Genomic DNA, 17583 nt, shown 5'->3' on the forward strand with positions numbered 1-17583 from the left:
CAGCAAATTAAGAATTGTTCATATTCATTTATTCATCAGGAATTCATGAATGATTATTTATGCAATCATTTATTGCATGTCCATATGTACAAACCCTGTGCAGGAATATGCAGTTATTGTTTTTAGGCGCTCTTTGTATTGGAGGATATAATGGCAATTACAGTGCAGCTGCACAGTAACTGTACTATAGCAGGAACTGCAGCGTACCATCGCGGGGCAGAGTTGGGCTCTCGACCAGCTGAAGAAAAGCAAGGAGCAATGGGTATGGAAGTCTTCTTGGAGGATATGAAGCATAACCATTGGAAATAGCCTATCAATCTAGTGCCAGAATTCTCAATTCCCATGCACTTCCCTCTTCTAACTATATTCCTTCCTTAATGGATGCACCTTGGAAATGTACACCATTATTTTTTTCAGTTGCTAAAGTAAAAAATCTAGGAGGTCTTGCAAAGGAGCACAAAGAATTGTTTAGAATTGGTTAAAAAAATTGACATTTCTGTATTACAGTGGTGTGGTTTCATAGGTATATATATCTTTCTATACTCATCTTGGTGTATGTTTTAAATGGATAAAACTTCATCAATAAGGTTGATGAAAAGTCTAGGCATTATCCTTGACTGATCTTTTTCCATCATCCTCAAGTCATTTATAAATGCAATCCCTTCAACGTCTAAAAATCATCCTAATCCATCCACTGCTCTCCATTGCCACTGCCAGCGCTATTGTACAAGCCCCAACCACACGTGGCTAGGATGACTACGGTAGCCTCCTGACCGGTCTTCCCTCTATTCTTGCTCTCTATAGTCCATTCTCCACATCTGTTTATAATGCAAATGTGGTGTGTTATACCCTTGCTTAAACCTCAAAAGGCTTCCAATTGCACTTATAGTGAAACTGAAATTCCTTACCAGGGCCTTCAAGGTGCTACCTTAAAACTTTTAAACTTTTTGGCCTCAGGACTCTCTCACACTTTTAGAAATTAGTAAGGAAAGCAAAGAGCTTGGTTATATCTATTGATATTTACCAGATTAAAAACTAAAGCTGGGATATTTTTATATCTCTTTTAAATACATTTTTAGTGGTTGCTCTTCCAGGGTCTTACATATACGTATGTGTGTGTATATATGTATATATACGTGTGTGTGTGTGTATATATATATGTATACACACATATATGTCTTTAATCAGTTTACCTTCAAATATTATACAGTTTCACATGGCAGGCAAGAAACTTCAGAACAATATTCTTTTGGTTCCTCTCTCCCCTCTTTTTACTATTGTTTTACACATTTTACTCATACATATGCTATAAATATACCATACATTACTATATACTTTAGACAGAAAGTTATCTTTTAGAGCAATTTAAAATGAAGAAAAAATAATTTTATACTTACCTTCTTTAATGCCATTTCCAGTGCTCTTCATTTCTTCATGTAGGTCCAAGTTTCTTTAATCTGGTATTACATTCTGTCTGAAGAACTTCCTTTAACATTTTTTCCGCAGAACAGGTCTGCTGGTCATGAGTTCACCAAGTTTTTGCCTGAAAAAGTATTTTTGAAAGATATTTTTGCTGGATATAGAATTCTGGATGGACAGTTTGGTTTTAAAATTTTTTTTATTAATACATAATAGATGTACATATTTCCAGGGTACATGTAATAATTTTGTATAATTTGTTTCTTTCAGCACTTTAAAGATGTCACTTTTGTCTTCTAGCTTGCAGAGATTTAAGGGGAAGTGGCTCATAATTTTTATCTTTGCTTCTCTTTATGCCATGTTTTTATTTTTCATGGCCTTCAAGATTTTCTCCTTATCTTTGGTTTTCAGAAGTTTGAATATGATGTGTCTAGGGTTTTTAACATCTGTATTGTTCTCTAAGCTTCTTAGAGCTGTAGTTTGTCATCCATCATTAATTTTAGAAAATTCTCTGCCATATATTTCAAATATTGCTTCTTTCATGTTTTTTTTTCTCTTTGTAGGATTTCAATCATATGGTATATTAGACCATTTGACCACTTGATATTGTTCCACAACTCTAGGATACTCAGTTCCTTTTTTTTATTTGTGTCTCAAATTGGGTAATTTCTATTGGCCTATTTTCAGTCGCACTGATTCTTTCCTCAGCTGTATTGAGTTTACTGATAAATTTGTCAAAGGCATTTAATCCGTTTTTCACTTCTAGCATTTTGATTGTTTCTTATAATTGTCATCTCTCTGCTAAAGTTCATCATCTGACATTGCATGGTCTTCATTTTTCTACCAGATCCATTAGCTTGATAATTATATTTATCATTTAAACATAATTTAAATTATTTGTCTGATATTTCCAACTGAAGGACCTGGGTGGGGCTTCACGCCTTTCCTAGGGATGTTGCTGTTCCCCTCCTCCATGCCTTGCACCACAACGGAGGTTTCCTCTGGACTCTTACCTGCCTCTCATCTTTCTCATGAATATCCAGTAAAGTCCACAAAAAAGAGCCTGAGAGTGAGTGTCAAGCCCCCTTGTGTCTGCAGCTCCCAAGGATTCTATACTCTCATATTAGCCACCTTCTATTTTAGCTCATTCATTAAAATTTTTAGCTGAAACTTCTTATCAGCTTGTATGGCTAGTAGTCCATCTCTCTTTATATGTACTTGTCTTTGCTTAAATTTCAGATGAGTTGATTTCCCTGAGACCTCAGCAATCTGAGAGATTTAGGAATGATTGTATGTAGCATCTGGAAAACTCTACTGTATGTTCATCAGAGAACCAATGTGAAAAAGGAAAATAATATTTAGTATTATTATGAAAATTATTTTAGCTTTGTGGACTCTCCAAAGTATTTTGGTGACTTCGAACAGAGTCTTTGAGACCCACTGTCCTCCATGATTCAAGCTCCACTCACCTTTCTAACATTACCACCAAACACTATCCCCCCTTCCATACTATATTCAGCCACACTGGTCCTGTAGTTCTGCCTGCACACCAAGTTCTCTAATGACCTAAGTTTTTGGCCTCATTTCTCCCACAAGGAGTGCTGTTCCATAGGTCTTCAAATGACTAGCTCCTTGTTATTCTCCAGCTTTCAGCATGGATGTACCTCCTCAAACAGGTCTTCCATGATCACCTTGGTCTAAAGAACCTATACACATACACCTACTCTAAGATGTTTTCTATCACATCACACTCTTTATATGAAATGGTATTTATACTCTCAGCCATGCTTTCATGTCTCTTGTGGCCATGCCTATCCTTGGTATGAGTCTGACTCGGCCTAGATAGAAAACCAATTCAGTTCAAAGAGCTTTTGAACCTCGATATGAACTATACTTGGCCAGTGAAACAACCCCACAGGAGTCTTCTTTTTAAGTGATTTTAAAAAAACACAATTAGCTTGTTAATGATTGATACAATTTAATCATTCTTTTATCAAAATTATTTTCAATATATTTGCTTCTTTTCTGTCTTCCTCCAACTTTTCTGCCTCCTGCAATATCTATAGTACCCACAATAGCTTCTGTTGTATAGTAACTCCTCAAAATGTGAATAAAATGGCTTAGACTATTTTAATGACTAAATTGTACCAATCATTATCAAGCTAATTGTGACTTTTACATCATTTAAATAAAAAAAAAAAAGTCTCCCATGGGGTTGTTTTACTGGCCAAGAATAGTTAGCATTTAGATTCAAATGCTCTTTGAACTGAATTGGTTTTTAATCTATGCCCAGCTGAACTCATATCAGAGACAGGCTCAGCCACAAGAGACATGGAAGAATAGCCAAGAGTCTAAAATATGATTTCAACACATGATAAAGCAAGGCTGTTTCAACAGCATGGGAGGTGTACTTCTTTGAACAGCGAGCCCTGGCTTTCCATATCACAGTACCTGGCAAAGCTTTGTTTTCTTTTCAGTAATCTTTAGCTTATCTTCCTCAGGCAATGTGAAAAACTAAAAAGGAAACTTCAAGCCAGGAAGCTGTCAGAAATCCTCTGGTTTTCATGTCTGCTCTACTTGGTTCCCCAAAGTAATATTTCCACAAATAAAGATGTCAGGAGTTAATGTAGACTCCAGAACTAGGCAAGAACCCATAATCAGGTGGTGCCTGATCAGTCTCATGATGCGCTTTCTCCCCTGTGGAAGGCTATAGAACATGAAAAAAGGAGAACCATGGTTCTTTTTTAATTTGGGATTTGGAGCAAGAAATTAAGTGCTGGTAGTTTGGAGTTTTTCACAAATCAAATGGATGTTTTAGAAAAAGCTCTTACTCAACACTCAACTCCCCTAATATAATTGATGACTTTTTTCCTCAGCTGTCTGATTTTAAACGTATGTTACCATCTGGATGAATCTTTTCTCTAAAGCCTTATTAAGGGCACATATCGGGGATGGGGAATAAAACAAGGGCAGTGATCTATACAAGTCATCAATGATCTGAAAAGTCTTCAATTCAGTCCTAGAAAAAGGGCATAATATGGTGGAGAATGAAGAATATAGGGCCAAAATCTAAGTCATATTCATGTGTGTGTGTGTGTGTGTGTGTGTGTGTGTATGTGTATGTGTGTGTGTATTCATTAATCCAGTATACATTTGATGTGGTTTGGCTCTGTGTCCCCACCCAAATCTCATCTCGAATTGTAATCCCCAGGTGTCAGGGAAGGGACCTGATGGGAGGAGCTTGGATGGTGAGGGCAGTTCCCCCATGCTGTTCTCATGATAGTGACGGAGTTCTCACGAGAGCTGATGGTTTTTTTTGAGACGGAGTCTCGCTCTGTCACCCAGGCTGGAGTGCAGTGGCACGATCTCGGCTCACTGCAAGCTCCGCCTCCCGGGTTCACGCCATTCTCCTGCCTCAGCCTCCCGCGTAGCTGGGACTACAGGCGCCCGCCACCATGCCCGGCTAATTTTTTGTATTTTTTAGTAGAGACGGGGTTTCACTGTGTTAGACAGGACAGTCTCAATCTCCTGACCTCGTGATCCGCCCACCTCGGCCTCCCAAAGTGCTGAGATTACAGGCGTGAGCCACCGCGCCCGGCGAGCTGATGGTTTTTAAAGTGGCAGTTTCCCCTGTGCTCTCTCTCTCCTGCCACCTTGTGAAGAAGGTGCCTGCTTCTCCTTTGCCTTCCAAGATGATTGTAAGTTTCCTGAGGCTTCCCCAGCCATGCATAACTGTGAGTCAATTAAACCTCTTTTGTTTATAAATTACCCAGTCTCAGGTAGTATCTTTATAGCAGTGTGAACATGAACTAACATTAACATTATTGAATTCCTACCATGTGACAGGTACTATACTAGGTAAACAATGGTAAGGAAGATAGACACAGTTTCTTCTTAATAGACTTCAGAGTCTAAGAAGAAAATGAGGATACAATTAGATATGCAAATAACTATATTAAATAGAATATGCTATGAGAAAAATAACTAATCGAATATTTAAGACGAAGACTCAGAGGAGAGATTTTTGATGAAAATGTGGGAGGAACCAACACAGGTTATTTTATTAAGGCTGTGATGAGTAGACAGGTGATCTAAGATGAAAGAATAAATATAAGACACAAAGAACTAGAGTCTCTATTGTGGAACCTTGTGATTATGTGAGTTAATACTTAATAAGCTCCTATATATCTCTCTCTATATATTCATATATATATACGTATATATGTATTTATATACATATATACGTATATATGTATTTATATACATATATACATATACATATATGTATTTTATATGTACATGTATGTATATATGTATATATACACAAGATTTTTGATGAAAATTTGGGAGGATATATATATATATACACACACATACATATATTTATATATCTTATTAGTTCTGTCCCTCTAGAGAACCTTAATATACCTGGGAACCTGACCAAGTCAAGGGAAAAGAACCTAAAGACACTTACATTGAGAGTTCATCCAAAAATGACCTACCCAGATGCCGTGAAGTAAACCTCAAAGTTGACAAGCCGTACCTACACACTCAGTTCATCCAATCAGGGCATTTTCCCTCTTTTAATCAGGAACACATGACCAAGACACTGGGAGGAATGACTTACATAGAAGATGGAGATCATTAAAATACAGTCACGTGTCTCAATGACAGGACTACATTCTGTCAGTAGGTGATTCCATCATTGTGCAAACATCATATCATGTATGCTGTGAGAAAAATAAATAATTGACTATATGAGATTATGAATATGCCATGAGAAAAATAAGTAACTGAATATATAAGACTAAAACTCAGAGGAGAGATTTTTGATGAAAATTTGAGAGGAACCACTACAGGTATTTTCTCAAGGCTATGATGACTAGATTGGCGATCTAGGATGAGAGAATAAATATACAAGCACAAAGAACCAGAGAACACTATGATTGAGTGTGGCTCAATCAAACCTGAGTGATATAGCCTACTACATACCTAGGCTATATAGTATATAGGCTATTGCTCCTAGGCTACAAATCTGTACCTCATGTTACTTTGCTGAACACTGTAGGCAATTGTAACACAATGGAAAGTATCTAACACATGTGCTTAGATGTGTATCTAAACACATCTAAACATAGAACAGATACTGTAAAAATACAGTATAAAAGATAAAAAATGGTTGACCTGCATTAGGCACTTACCATGAATGGAGCTTGCAGGACTGGAAGTTGCTCCGGGTGAGTCAGTGAATGAGTGGCGAGTGAATGTGGAGGTCTAGGACATTACTGTATACCACTGTAAACTTTATGAACACTGTCTACTTACATTTATTTTAAAAATACCATAATTGTGCTATAACATTATGGTAGTTATAACATCACTAGGTAATAGGAATTTTTCAGCTCTATTATAATCATATGGGCCCACCATCATACATGTGGTGCATCGTGACCGAAATGTCTTTATGCAGTGCATGGCTGTATACCTAAAGATAACCAGAAGATTCATAATCAGCATAACAGACATTGGAAATAATTTGTACATTGGTGAAGAGGATGGATTAGATTTAAAAAGCTATAGAGGAGCTGTCACCCTTACCAAGATGGGGCATAAGAATCTGGTGAGCCAGGAGCCTAATGATGCTGCCACAGTGGTGTCATTCAGTCTTGTGTAGGCGCACATTGTGGATATTCCTGCTGCCTGATGCAATTAGGTTACTGCTACCTCAGATCATAGCCACATCTGTCTCCAACTGACCCTTTCATATATGATATTGGAGAACCTGAAACAACAGAGAGCAGAGTCGGCCATTGGATTACAGAGACTTGTGAATAACCTTTGGAAGTGTGGCAGAAATTGGTTTGAGCCTTGCTCTCATGAACGTACCACTTGGCAGAAAAGTTTATACACAGGGAAGGGAACATCTAGCTTGCACCCAGCTCTCATTATTAGGGGCTAACCATGTTTGCTGAAAGACCTTGACACATGTGAACAAATAAACGGGTTTAGGTCTATTTGCAACACTTGTCCAGCTTGCTTGCTGGATAAACCATATTTGGATTCAACTTTCCTTTTGGATATAAGCCTTTCTTGTGCTGCCCCCTGCTCAAAAAGTCCTGCCTTCTCTTGTACACCAAGCCCACTCATCTTATTGAAACCATTCAAATACTCAGATGATTCATATTGTTTCTTGACAATTCAACTGTAAGCTCCCAAATAGGAATTCTGTTGTTCAAGTTTTAGAGTAAGAACTATTATAGCAGTAAGACTTTCTCTCTCTGTCTCTCTCTCTCTCTCTCACACACACACATACACCCACGCACACACTTACAATGTACCAGGCACTGCTCTATATGTAAAATGTGAATCAACTTCTATAATTTTCACAGCAACCCTAAGGGGCAGGTACTATCAATACTCACATTTTACGGAAAGGAAACTGAATCAGAATAGTTAAGTGAGTTGTCTAAAATCACACAGCTGTCATTCAAACTGAGCCAGGTGAGCTCTAAATCCCAAAACTTTTTACCACTATTGTGAGATTTCTAACCTGCAGAACTGTAAGATAATAAAAAAAAAAAAAAGAAAAAAAAGAACGATTTTAAGTCACCTGGTTTCTCACTATTTGTAATAGCAGCAACAGAAAACTAACATAACTGTGCTACCCCCACTGCTATTCAAGACACAGGCATAATTCTTTGCATATAAGCTTTAAAAAGTAAAGGTGTTGGCCTCACGCCTGTAATCCTAGCACTTTGGGAGGCTGAGGCAGGCGGATCACTTGAGGTCAGGAGTTTGAGACCAGCCTGCCCAACATGGTGAAACCTCATCTCTACTAAAAATACAAAAATTAACTGGGTATGGTGGCAGGCACCTGTAATCCAAGCTACTGGTGAAGCTGAGGCAGGACAATTGCTTGAACCTGGGAGGCAGAGGTTGCAGTGAGCCAAGATTGTGCCACTGCACTCCAGCCTCGGTGACAGAGCAAGACTCTGTCTCAGAAAAAAAAAAAAGGAAAATTGTTAATGAATATATATTTGTTGAATTTGTTACAACTATCAAAAATGACCTAGCGATGCAGAGAAATACAAAAATTATCACGAGAATTAGCATGAGAGAAAAATTACATATTTATGAATTTCAAAGAGGTGACAAGGGCACCAATCTTAGAGACCAGAGATCTTGATCCTGGAGCAGATTTTGTCTAGAAATGCTTATGTGACATGAGCAAGACTTTTAATTTCTCTGAGACTCAGCTTCTATATTGAAGAATAAGGGAGTTGGACCGGGTCATCTTGAACTTCTTTCTGGTATAAAAAGAATGATATTTTGAGTATAGTTTTCTTTCTTCCCATTTATTTCAATCAAATAATAATGTGCCCCAATATTTCTCTGAGATAGCCACACTATATCATCATGAGCAGTGCTAATAATCAGATTCATGAAACGCACAAGGAAATACTCAAAGCTGACTTTAAAAAGCACCATCTTATATAACCCTGAGGTTTCCTCCCTCCACTTTAAATGATCCTTCTTAGCAGCTTGCCATTCATCACAGAAACCGATCACAGAAACCACAAGGGCATTGATCATATTTCTTGAGTCTATGCATTTGTATAATCTCATTGTCTTTATAGCGGGTGCAGAATAAGAACTTCTGACAACATCCGTTTCCTCTGCTGGGAAATAATAGATGTCTGTATAATACCAGTGATACTGGTCTGATGGCCAGCCAGTGGTTTACAATTTCCAGTAGAATTTGCCTTTATGTGTTATTTTTCTAACAGTACTGTTACTATAAAATATAAGGAAGAGTGTACTGGGGAGAAGGGTAGTGGTAGGGAAAGAATAAGAGACAGGAATAGAGGTCGCAGTTGAGGGAGCTGCAAGGTGCTTGGAGCTATTTGGCCTTTTGTGCACAATTGATAAAACCGTTTAAATTATGGTGGGTTGTGCTGCTCCAGCTAAAATTCAGTGGAGAGGATTTAAAAATATAAAAATTAGATGCAGAGAACTAAACAAAGCAATCAGTATGTGCAGAAGTTGGAGGTACCAGGACCAGCTTTTGTTGCAAATCTTTGGGCAGATGACATAATTTGGGCATAATATACATCTTTCACAGCCAAACAACATAACCCGTGATGAACAGAGCGTCCGGACAAAGATAAACCCTGTGAGTCACACGCAATTCTTTTCTCAGCAAACAGTGGAATTACATCCAGCTTGGTTGGTGGAAAAGACAGCCAAGGCATTTTCCTTTCTTTGAGTATCTTAATATAATGAAGGGATAACATATGAGAGGGAACATAAAGAAGGAGAAAACTTTATTAGAGAAGGAAACATTGTCAAATAACTAGACAGCAAAGAGACATAGGGTAACAGATTTCCTGAGATATATCCCCTGGGTACCAAATAAATTACAGGATTGGAAGAAAAACAAAGACCAAGATGAAATGTAATGTGGGAGTGTAAAAACTGAGAAGAAAGCTTATGAAGAGAAAGAAAAATAGAAATAGGAAAAACTGAGAAGAGAGGAAAGAAAATACAAAAAGAAGAGGAGGTAGAAGCCTGCTTTGTCCTCCTTTCATTGATGCACATCAGTAAGGGTCAGTCTTTGCACATTTGTTTCATCATTACTTCCACTTTCTCTTCTTTCTCACTTTTTCCCACTTCAGAATTGGGAAAGAAAGGAACTGCCAGAGATGCTTCCAGGCTCCCCTTTACTGCCATGCACAACTTGGATTTTCTTTGTCTTGCCAAGACAGCATAAAATGGGGTTCCCTGAAAGGAAATCAGGGTACTGTTAGGAAAGGACAATGAGGTTGAACAACCAAAACACAACAATATCCACACAGAATTGATTCTGTGAGCTAGTCTTATCTTACATTGAGCTCCAACCATTCACAGCTTAATGAAGGGGAACTGAAAAGCAAAGATGCTAAAAAATAACAACAACAAAAAGAAAAAATATATATATGCAATGTTCCAAAAAAGATGAAGCTTTCCCTAACCTCATAGAACAGAAATAGAAATAAAAGCTCAATGTAGTTTTCCTATCCTGTGAGTCTGCTTCAAGAATAAAATCGCTAGGTTAATTGAACTCTGACCTCTTAACATTTTCATTAAAAATGTAAAAATATTGTTTGATCATCTCTTGAAAACTAAAATGAGCTATACTTTCAGTCATTTTTGTAGTTGTCATATTTATGTTTTCATCTTTTATTATGCCCCCTGACTTTAAGATTTAGGTATACTAAATTTTATCCTCTATAAACAAATTGATGCTTTTCTATGACATTTCCTAAAAGACAAGTGGCTATTTTTCTTTTTCCTTTTGGCACATTCTTTGCTGCTTCTTAATTTTTTTTAATCTCCAGAAAATGTCTTTCAACTTTTTTTCTTCATGAGAATGCTCTTCAAGTCTCTCAGAACCTGTCATGTTATACTACTTTACATACAAAATTATACATAATTATTGTAAATGCATTTACAAATGACTAAATGGCAAATGTTTACAGATGCATACTTACAGACATGTATATATTCAATATTTACCTTATAAATAAATTTAGTCAGACTCTTTGTTAAGTGGATGGTTATTAACATGTCAAAATATGGTTCTGAGAGTATGACTTTATAACATCAGGATAGTTGATATGTACTGACAAGGACTGATGTCTAGAAATGTTAAGAGAAAAAAATAAGCTGCAGATCAATATATATACTATAATCCTTTGAATTTTTTAAAAATATCCTAAGTACAGATTCATGTATTAGGTTATAATTGGTTTTGCTGTGGTAACTAGCTTATTCTGAAATCTCAGTGATTAAACACAAGGAAGATATAGTTTGTTCATGGTACATATATAACACTCATATGCACAATGAGAGAAGAATGCTAATCCATATAGTCATTCAGGGACCCAGGCTTCCATCACATTGCATATGTAACATTTAGAAGATGGAGCCTCCTCAGTCTTCACAAGAAAGTAAGAAGGCTCATGGAAAACTCATTCTTACCATTATGCATCAGCCCAGCAATGACAAATATTACTTCTTCTTTGAGACAGGGTCTCGCTCTGTTGCCTAGGCTGGAGTGCAGTGGTGTAATCATTGCTCGCTGTAACCTTGAACTCCTGGGCTCAAGAAATTCTCCCACCTCAGCCTCCCAGGTAGCTAGGACTACAGATGCATGCCACCACACTCAACTAATTTAAAAAATTTTTTGGTAGAGACAGGGTCTTGCTATGTTACCCAGGCTGATTTTGACCTCCTGGCCTCAAGCAATCCTCCTGCCTCAGCTTCCCAAAGTGATGGGATTACTGGCATGAGCCACTGTGCCTGGCCTCACTTCTGTTTATAGTATATGGGCCTAAGCTAGTCTCAAGGCCAATATGAGCTGCAAGGAAACTGGAATTGGGAAGAGCACATGGATATACAGTAAATATTTCTAACAGTACACACACACATATGCGCGCGCGCACACACACACACACACACACACAGAGAGACAGAGACAGAGAGAGAGAGAGATGCAAAATGCAAATTTAAAAGCTCCAGAAAGAAAAAAAAATCTATCTAGTGAGTACCTTTGAGGAGAGAAGTGAAATTAGGGAAAGAATGAAGAAAAATTCTATTATATTATATGCTTCCAAATTTTTGCATTTTTAAAATAAAATCAGGTCTTACATGAGTTATTCTGAGACAATCTGGTTGAAATAAAACTGGTAAATAAGTGGTTAAAAGGCAGTACAAAATAGTTTCCATCAATGGCCCAGCATCAAGCATGGGCATAGTTTTCAGGGATCAACCAGGGCTCTCTATGATTTAGTGGCTGTTGTTTGATCAATGGTTGAAATGTTAGAGTGGAGAGCCTGCTGATTAAGTTCATGGATGAAGCTATGTTAACTAAAACTTTGGGAGCTGTGATTAAGATCCAAACTGGCCTGTCAGAAGTGAGCTATGGCCAAGTGTGGGGTGTGAGTATACTTGGGAGTGAAGAATGAATCTCTGAAGACTGCAAGGGTCAGACAAAAATACTTGAGTGCCTCTGGATTCAGTGTAAATCACATGCCAGATGGATGCCTGGAATAAACTGGGTTGCTTTAAGAAATGTAGCATTGCTTAGGCATTTCAAGTTTTAAGAGAAGACAGGAAAGGAAAGAAAGGAACATATCTTCAGAGTTTGTATTCAAGATCATCAGGCAAAAATAAATAAACAAATTACTGAACAGGGTGGACTGTGTATCAGAGCATGTGCTACAGTGGTAAATAATGCAGACACTGTCATCATCTTTATGGAGATCATGTCTAGCTGCTCTCTTTACATCCAAGACTTCTCTCTTTTGGTCTCTAGGTTGACTTGTCCAGGGACCAGCAGCAAGAGACTCTCTTGAGAACTTATTAGAAATGCAGAATATGAGCTCAATCCCAGACCTAACGAATCAGAATCTGCTTTCTAACAAGGTCCCTCAGGTGGTTCATGTGCACATTCATTTGTGGAAAGCACAGGTCTAGGTTATATCTTCCTCCTCGAACTTACCTACCCTATTAAGGAGAAAGCCTTCTTACTCACTTTGCAATTGCCTTGTCTTTGATTTTTATCTACACATGGATAGCCTCAAGAGAATTGAAAGACATAGGAGAGGTTAAGCAGACATACATAATGAAGGGGTGAATAGAGAGGGGAAGTGCAAAGAGAAATATTCAGGCAGGAGGAGATTATGGGAAAGTTCAGGGAAATGTAGAGACAGGAGGAGAGAGAAATGGAGGGCAACTGCAAATAAATAAAGAGATGAGGGAAAGCAAATTAGAAGAAGTCTTGCTATACAATGTCTCCATCAGCCATTCTTTGAAAGACTTCATAAGAGATTTAAATTTCTTTTTAACTATCTTTGGGTGTCACTACTAATATTTTTTATGTGAAACCAGATGAGAAGGGGCTACTACTACAAACCCTAGCTTTATATTAGTTATATATTAGTTGTCATTTCTTAGGTAGGAGGGTGGAAAAGGCAATAAAAATCTAAGACAAGTACTAAAATCCAGCAATATGCAGTTCCCATTCTATACCATTTCCAAAAAGGAAGGATTTTTTTTTCATTATTTCACAATGTTTCTGTTGACTTTCATAGATCTCTGCACTGAATTATTTAATGATGTTAAATTAGAGCTAAATCCCCAAAGAGCTGTGATTTACCAGTTACACTAGAAAGAGATGGACCAGATAGATCCTTCGAGCTGATTTTAGCTCTGTATGTCTATGTCTAGTATGAATGGAAAAAAATTGAAAATAATCTCCAACTTGTGGAATTAAATTAGCAGTAAGAATATTCCAGCCTTGGTTTTTAGCTAAATGAATTGCTTGAACATAAATGATCATTATCCTTTCTATGTACATAACAAAGAGGATCAATTTTGAAGCCCAAATGAATGATAGTGATAGTAAAAAAAGGAATTCATAAATCAAACTTGGTAGAATATAATAACCTCAGTACCTACGGCTGCTCTGTATAATCTCCATACCAAACAAAAATCACAAAACAAAAAATAATTTGTTGTGGAAAATCTTGAATGGTATGAGAGATGAAGTGATGGTTCTCCTTGGAAAACAACTCTCATAAACATTTATTTTAAAAATAGTTTTTAGATCAGGAGAAAACATCAGAAGGCAACTCTACCTGGCTCTTTTGCTCTTTTTGGTGTTTAATTTAAACTCAAGGTTGGGGGATTCTTTTTTTTTTTTTTTTTTTTTTTTTTTTAGACGGAGTCTCACTCTTTCGCCTAGGCTGGAGTGCAGTGGTGCAACCTCGGCTCACTGCAACCTCCACCTCCGGGTTCAAGCGATTCTCCTACCATGGCCTCCTGAGTAGCTGGGACTGCTGGCACCTGCCACCATGCCTGGCTAATTTTTGTATTTTTAGTAGAAATGAGATTTCAGTATGTTGGCCAGGCTGGTCTCGAATTCCTGACCTCATGATCTGGCACCTCGGCCTCCCAAAGTGCTGGGATTACAGGTATGAACCACAGTACCTGGCCGGGGATTCTTATGACAACAAAAATAAAGAATTTTGTTTCAATTTAAGCATAGTCTTTGATGCTGCATTGCCCATGTGGTAACATGCAACCCTGCTTGACTTAGATATAGTACCACGCATTCAACTGCAGAACAATTTCAAAGACTTTCAAGAGACTAGGTGCCCTTTCTCTCTGAGGTAGAATCTAATTAGCCCACGGTAAGAGGCCTTTAAAACACACACACACACACACACACACACACACACACACGCACACACGGTGAGAAAAGTGCTAAACTTTATTAAAATAGGGTACCTGTCATCAGTTTATATAGCATTTACTTCTAATTGCTGGTGTGAATATCACGAAGTCTTCCACATTTAAAGAGAGAGAGAGAGAGAGAAAGGAAGGTTGCTGATCTAAATGTGCTTTACAAATGCTTTATCAAAGCTACAACATTTCAAGTGCTTCACAGGCTATAATACAAACATGATGGCAAGAAATTGTGTTGAGTTGATTGCTGCCTTCAACCCTCACTATGTAAACCTCCATAACACAAGCACCATATCTACTAGTAGACATGCAAGTCCTTGGGCCATGCTCCAGGGTCAGTGTGTTTTTCTGGCTTGTGGTGTCAGTATATGAACTCTAATTACAGTTAATACACTATTCCTAGGTACTGATCTCCAATCCCACAGCTGCCAGATCCATTGGAGAAACTGGCTGAAAGTCAAGGCCAGGGAGTTTTAAGGGAAAGCAAAATGCTGAAACGAACAAGATGCTGTCTATCTCCTGCTTAAATGTTTTCTCATGGCTCTCGAAATTAAGGTCAAGATCTGCAGGATGAATTACACAGTCCTGCGCAGCCTCGCAGCTCCCTAGCTCCTGCTCAGCATTTTTCCCTTAGCTGACTATTCTTCAGCCATGCTGGTTTTTTCCCTCATCACGGGGCCTTGACCCACATCCCTGCCCCTTGCCCACTGCATTTCTAACCTCTCTCTTCCCTTCATCCGTCAAGTCACAGTGCAAATGTCAAGGCATTAGGAGAAGCCAAACTTCAGCATTCAAACTAGGTAGTTTGTTACCTCTGTTATGCGATCCCACAGGACCTGCAACTTCTCCATGAGTACATCTACCACAATTGCAGTTTTACTGTTATATATCCAATTATTTTTTACTGCCTTTTCTCCTAGGCTTTAAACTCCATATTTCTAAGTACTATCTGTCTGGCACATAGAGACTCCATAAATATTTGTTAACTGAATGAATGAATGAATGAATGAATGAATAAAACAGAGAAGAGATAGGAGTCAGATAGTCCCATAAGTCTCCTTAATCATTTATGTCTGTCAGAGTCCCTTTTACTAATACTGAAATTTCTTATTTCTGAATTGGTCTCCCCCATTTAATTATCTGATCTTCAGGTAGAGGGCCCTTGTCACCTGCCACATATGAAAGAGCTCAAAGATCAGCTGCTTGGAGAAGAATGGGAGGAAGACATGGAGACAGAAGAAGAATGATAAGAAGGAAGAAGAAAAGGTGGCAGAGAGAGAAAAAGAAGACAGAGGAAGGGTTAGTAAGTCCTTAAACATGTCAGATGAAATACAAGAGAAAAATCCCTGATTAAAACCTTCCTCTGGAAGAAGAAAAGGCTTATGTAACCTTTTTGGAGGATATGCCAAACAAATGTGGCACATTGACAGCATATTATAAATAATACTGATTTTAAAATTGTTTTTATAAAGACAAACAGAACACTGAATTTCCTGTTGGCAATACTCAAACCATTAATAATTTTGATTTCAGGTTAATACATTTTTGGGGGGAGAATAGAGGACTTCAGAGGGCATTTAGAATCATTAGAAGCTGGTGTATTACCACTGACATTAACAATCTTTGGGAAAACTCATGATGTCACTTGCTTTGAACAATATGAGGACCAGCTGTAAGTGGTACAGAATGAAGACTAATGACTAACTGTTCACATGCAAAACTCAAGACTTGTGGGAGAGGACTTCTTAGGCAGCACCAGGCTGTTAGGCCAAATTATTAGCTCATTTCAATTGAAAATGTGAAAAGACATTACACTTTGCAAGATGGTACTGAAGACAGCCAAGACTTTTAGCTGAAAGAATCTCATTCAGAGCATCCCCATGGTGCCAGGCTTTCAACTGTATATTACAGATATGTTACTGTTGATATTCTGTATTTTTGTAAGATCTGGTCAAAATGCATTTAGCTCTATATTCAATAATTTTTGGTCCACATCAGAAAGTCTTTAGTCATCCTGTATTTTAGACTTTTTACTTACATTTCTATTATTCAAGACAATGTATTTGTTCACCGTCCTCTTCTAAAAATGATGAGTATCATTAACATGTCACAACTCATTTGTTTGTTTTTTTATTCCAAAGCCATAAACTTTTATTGAAAATGTTGTGATCCATTCACTTTCAAGAAAAGCTGTTGGAACATCTTGGTTTGACAGTCTCTTAAGTCAAGCCCACTATGCTCCTGACATGGTGAGTCACACTTTTGCCAAAAACAGGCAAAAGCTAAACTCTGCATGTTAGCAGCAGATGAGGCCAATAAGCTGGCTTTGGAAATGGTTCTCAAAGTAGCCACATTTGAATCCTGGATAAGAAAGGATACCTCACATAGAAGTTGGCAACCATAAATCAACCAAGGTTCCTCTGTCCCTCATTTCACCCCACGTCCAGTCTAACACTTAACCCCATTAATTTTGCTTCCAATCTTCCCCACGCTACCTGAGCTACTCCAGTGGTCTCCTCCCTGGGCTTTGGACTTACATCCTTGGCCTCTTCAGTGCATTCTCTACATGGAGACCCAAGTGATCTGATAAACACAAATTGGATAAGTTTGGATATCTGTTGTAGGATAGTAACCATAGTTGATAATAATGTATTGAATACTTGGAAATTGTTAAGATATTAGATCTCAACTCTATTCACAACAAAAAATAAGTATGTGAGGTGATGGATCTGTTAATTAGCTTGATTGTATCATTTTACAACGTATACCTATATCAATACATCACCTCATATGCCATCAATATATGCGTTTTTTTGTCAAATGTGCCTTAGTTTTAAAAGAATAAAATTAAAAATAAGCACTCTCCAAAAAATA

The 17583-nt window shown here is 37.7% G+C and overlaps 2 long non-coding RNA genes across 2 annotated transcripts, besides 1 other annotated feature; both read right to left on the reverse strand.

The window, feature by feature from the left end:
• Positions 3776-3976: a silencer, noted in NCBI's record as "peak4686 fragment used in MPRA reporter construct". NCBI's record gives its function as "represses an SCP1 promoter by STARR-seq MPRAs in K562 erythroleukemia cells {active_cell/tissue: K562}" and the evidence as "EXISTENCE:reporter gene assay evidence [ECO:0000049][PMID:32103011]".
• On the reverse strand, positions 5854-7971 carry LOC107986017 (uncharacterized). The gene is made up of 3 exons (XR_001740438.2): positions 7842-7971; positions 6621-7201; positions 5854-6149 (listed from the first exon to the last, which is right to left on the reverse strand). It is a non-coding gene; the product is annotated as an uncharacterized LOC107986017 (long non-coding RNA).
• A 1755-nt stretch (positions 7972-9726) lies between these two features.
• LOC105377125 (uncharacterized) lies at positions 9727-17329 on the reverse strand. The gene is made up of 3 exons (XR_940925.3): positions 17205-17329; positions 10975-11097; positions 9727-10200 (listed from the first exon to the last, which is right to left on the reverse strand). It is a non-coding gene; the product is annotated as an uncharacterized LOC105377125 (long non-coding RNA).
• Positions 17330-17583: the final 254 nt, after the last annotated feature.

The sequence above is a fragment of the Homo sapiens genome, chromosome 3 (genome assembly GCF_000001405.40).
Source record: "Homo sapiens chromosome 3, GRCh38.p14 Primary Assembly".
Classification (NCBI taxonomy): Eukaryota; Metazoa; Chordata; class Mammalia; order Primates; family Hominidae; genus Homo; species Homo sapiens.